The sequence below is a fragment of the Homo sapiens genome, chromosome 12, assembly GCF_000001405.40.
Source record: "Homo sapiens chromosome 12, GRCh38.p14 Primary Assembly".
Classification (NCBI taxonomy): domain Eukaryota; kingdom Metazoa; phylum Chordata; class Mammalia; order Primates; family Hominidae; genus Homo; species Homo sapiens.
Window position 1 is genome coordinate 28,582,376 of NC_000012.12, and position 2,127 is coordinate 28,584,502.

The following is a 2,127-nucleotide window of genomic DNA, read 5'->3' on the forward strand; positions in this document are numbered from 1 at the left end:
ATACATCAGGGAGCACATTTATTATAACGAGATTAGGGACCACATTTATTATAATGGGATTTATTAGAACAGGATATTACAATTATAATTGCAATTAGGGATTACAATTGTTGCTAACAATTGTAAGCATAGAATGGCTCTATCTAAGTTCAAAAGAAATTAGGAAAATTCTCAGGACACCTCTGGGAGGAGCAGGAAGCATTCCCTATGCTAGACATTCCTGATCATGCCATCAGAAAGTGGAGTGGTCTAGAGTCTTTGATAAAGAAAGGTCAGAGATCACCAGGGCATTTGACTTGGTTCACCTCCGCCTGCCAGAAGACTCCCCGAGAACACTTTTTCTTCTCTCCCTGATCAACTGAAAGAGTGTAGCAGCAGGAAAATAGCATCTTACTATAAAACAGATAAGGATTTCTATCCTATACTCCCAGAAGAATGGTTAATGGGTGGTTAAATTGTTACTGATTTAATTCAGTATGCTCCTGCAACAGAATATGTACTTAGCAGGCTGGTGAATTAGAAACTGCTCTTCATTAAGGTGACAGTGAGTAAGCCTACTTGAAGCTTTTCTCTGTTGTCAAAATGATAACGATATAATCGTTATTATACATAGAGAAGGAATAATGGTAGAGCGCATGGGTCATGGAATCAGTGCCTGCTTTTAATTCCTGATGCCATAGCCTACAGGCTCTCTGGTTCCCAAGCAAGTTACTTAACCTCTGTATGTTTTAGTTTGTTCAACTGTAAAATAAAGATAACCACAACAGCAACAGCAAGTAGTTTATAGTGTTTATTATGAAGTGTCATGCCAAGCCTTATCTTAGTGTTTCGTCTTCATTGACTAATTTACTGCTTTCAACAACCCTATGAGGTGGGTACTTTTGTTACATGACTCCTGAATCTTTTCTCCTCTACTCCAGTGAGTCCCTAGAAATACTAGATAAACATGAAGGATGCTGATGTGCTTTATGAGCATTATTTCATTTAATCCTCACAACACTGTGATGCAGAGGGTGCTCTTATTTTACTCATTTGTCACTTGAGATGACTGAGGCACAGAAGGGTTAAGTAACTTACCCAAAGACAGGAAGTGGTGGTGTTGAGAATTATAGGCCGTCAGACCTATAATGGTATAAATGGTCTAAATGGTATAAATACCATGTTCTTGATTATAATACATCCTATCAGAGTTTCCCTCATTTGTTAAAAGGGGGATGAAACCAACTCAAATCACATGTTTGTGAATGGGAAGCATTTAGAAAGGATGACTGAAGGGCTACCTTCAAGGCTTGCATCAAAATAAACAGAACTGATAGACACAATCGAAGCTCTGGCTTTAATTTTGTTGTTGTTGGTTTCTTTTTCCATGGTACAGGATTTTATGATGACGTTTCCATGAGAAAAGGGATCATGTGGTCATGTAAAGTAATCAACAAAAAGAATGTAGGAAAGGGTACTGGTAAGTCATATGAGGAAATCGCTCACAAGATGTTTGTCTCTGTACTGACATGAAATTCCCCCGAATGTTCTGTTTCACAATCTACAAGATGGAAGAAAGTTGCCTCTAGAGGACGCCAAAGTGATCATGGCACTTTTTAAATTTTTTTTTTTATTTTTTAATCTTCCTTGTTTCTGTAGATGTGGCATAGACTCCCTGCATTTCTGAGGGTTTCTGGATGATCCTTAAAAATCCCCTCAGGGCTTTTGTCTGGTTTGGAGTGTGAGCCAGGGTCACCCAGAAAGCTAAATGCAGCTGCTGGGTGATAAAAGTCCTGTGGTAAACTGACTTCCAGCTAACCACAGGCGGCAGAGAGCATCTAATGCAACCACAAAGTGGTTTGCTGGCACAGAACTTCCCCAACCCTTGGAATGAGATACCAGGGGATGTTGTTTAGTCTCCATCTTGGAACTCTTTCTTGTAGCAAGAGGAAAATTCTGATATCCATCAGTCTGAAACCATTTGAACACAGCTTTATGTGGAGATGAACATGTTGTCTGTGGGATCTCACAACCCCAAGTCCTATGATCTTAGAGGAGATGCTTAAACAGTTAATTATAAAACAGGCCGGCATAAACATGCTGCTGCGGATTGACAAACTGTAGTAGAATATCAGAACTCCTTGGAAT

At 39.4% G+C, this 2,127-nt stretch overlaps 3 annotated features.

Moving 5' to 3' along the window:
* Window positions 243-412: an enhancer, noted in NCBI's record as "experimental_27720 CRE fragment used in MPRA reporter constructs". NCBI's record gives its function as "activates a minimal promoter by MPRAs in K562 erythroleukemia cells, with activity observed for the introgressed 12:28735636 variant allele {active_cell/tissue: K562}" and the evidence as "EXISTENCE:reporter gene assay evidence [ECO:0000049][PMID:34662402]".
* Window positions 243-562: a biological region, named in NCBI's record as "Neanderthal introgressed variant-containing enhancers experimental_27720 and experimental_27723".
* Window positions 393-562: an enhancer, noted in NCBI's record as "experimental_27723 CRE fragment used in MPRA reporter constructs". NCBI's record gives its function as "activates a minimal promoter by MPRAs in K562 erythroleukemia cells, with activity observed for both the introgressed and non-introgressed 12:28735786 variant alleles {active_cell/tissue: K562}" and the evidence as "EXISTENCE:reporter gene assay evidence [ECO:0000049][PMID:34662402]".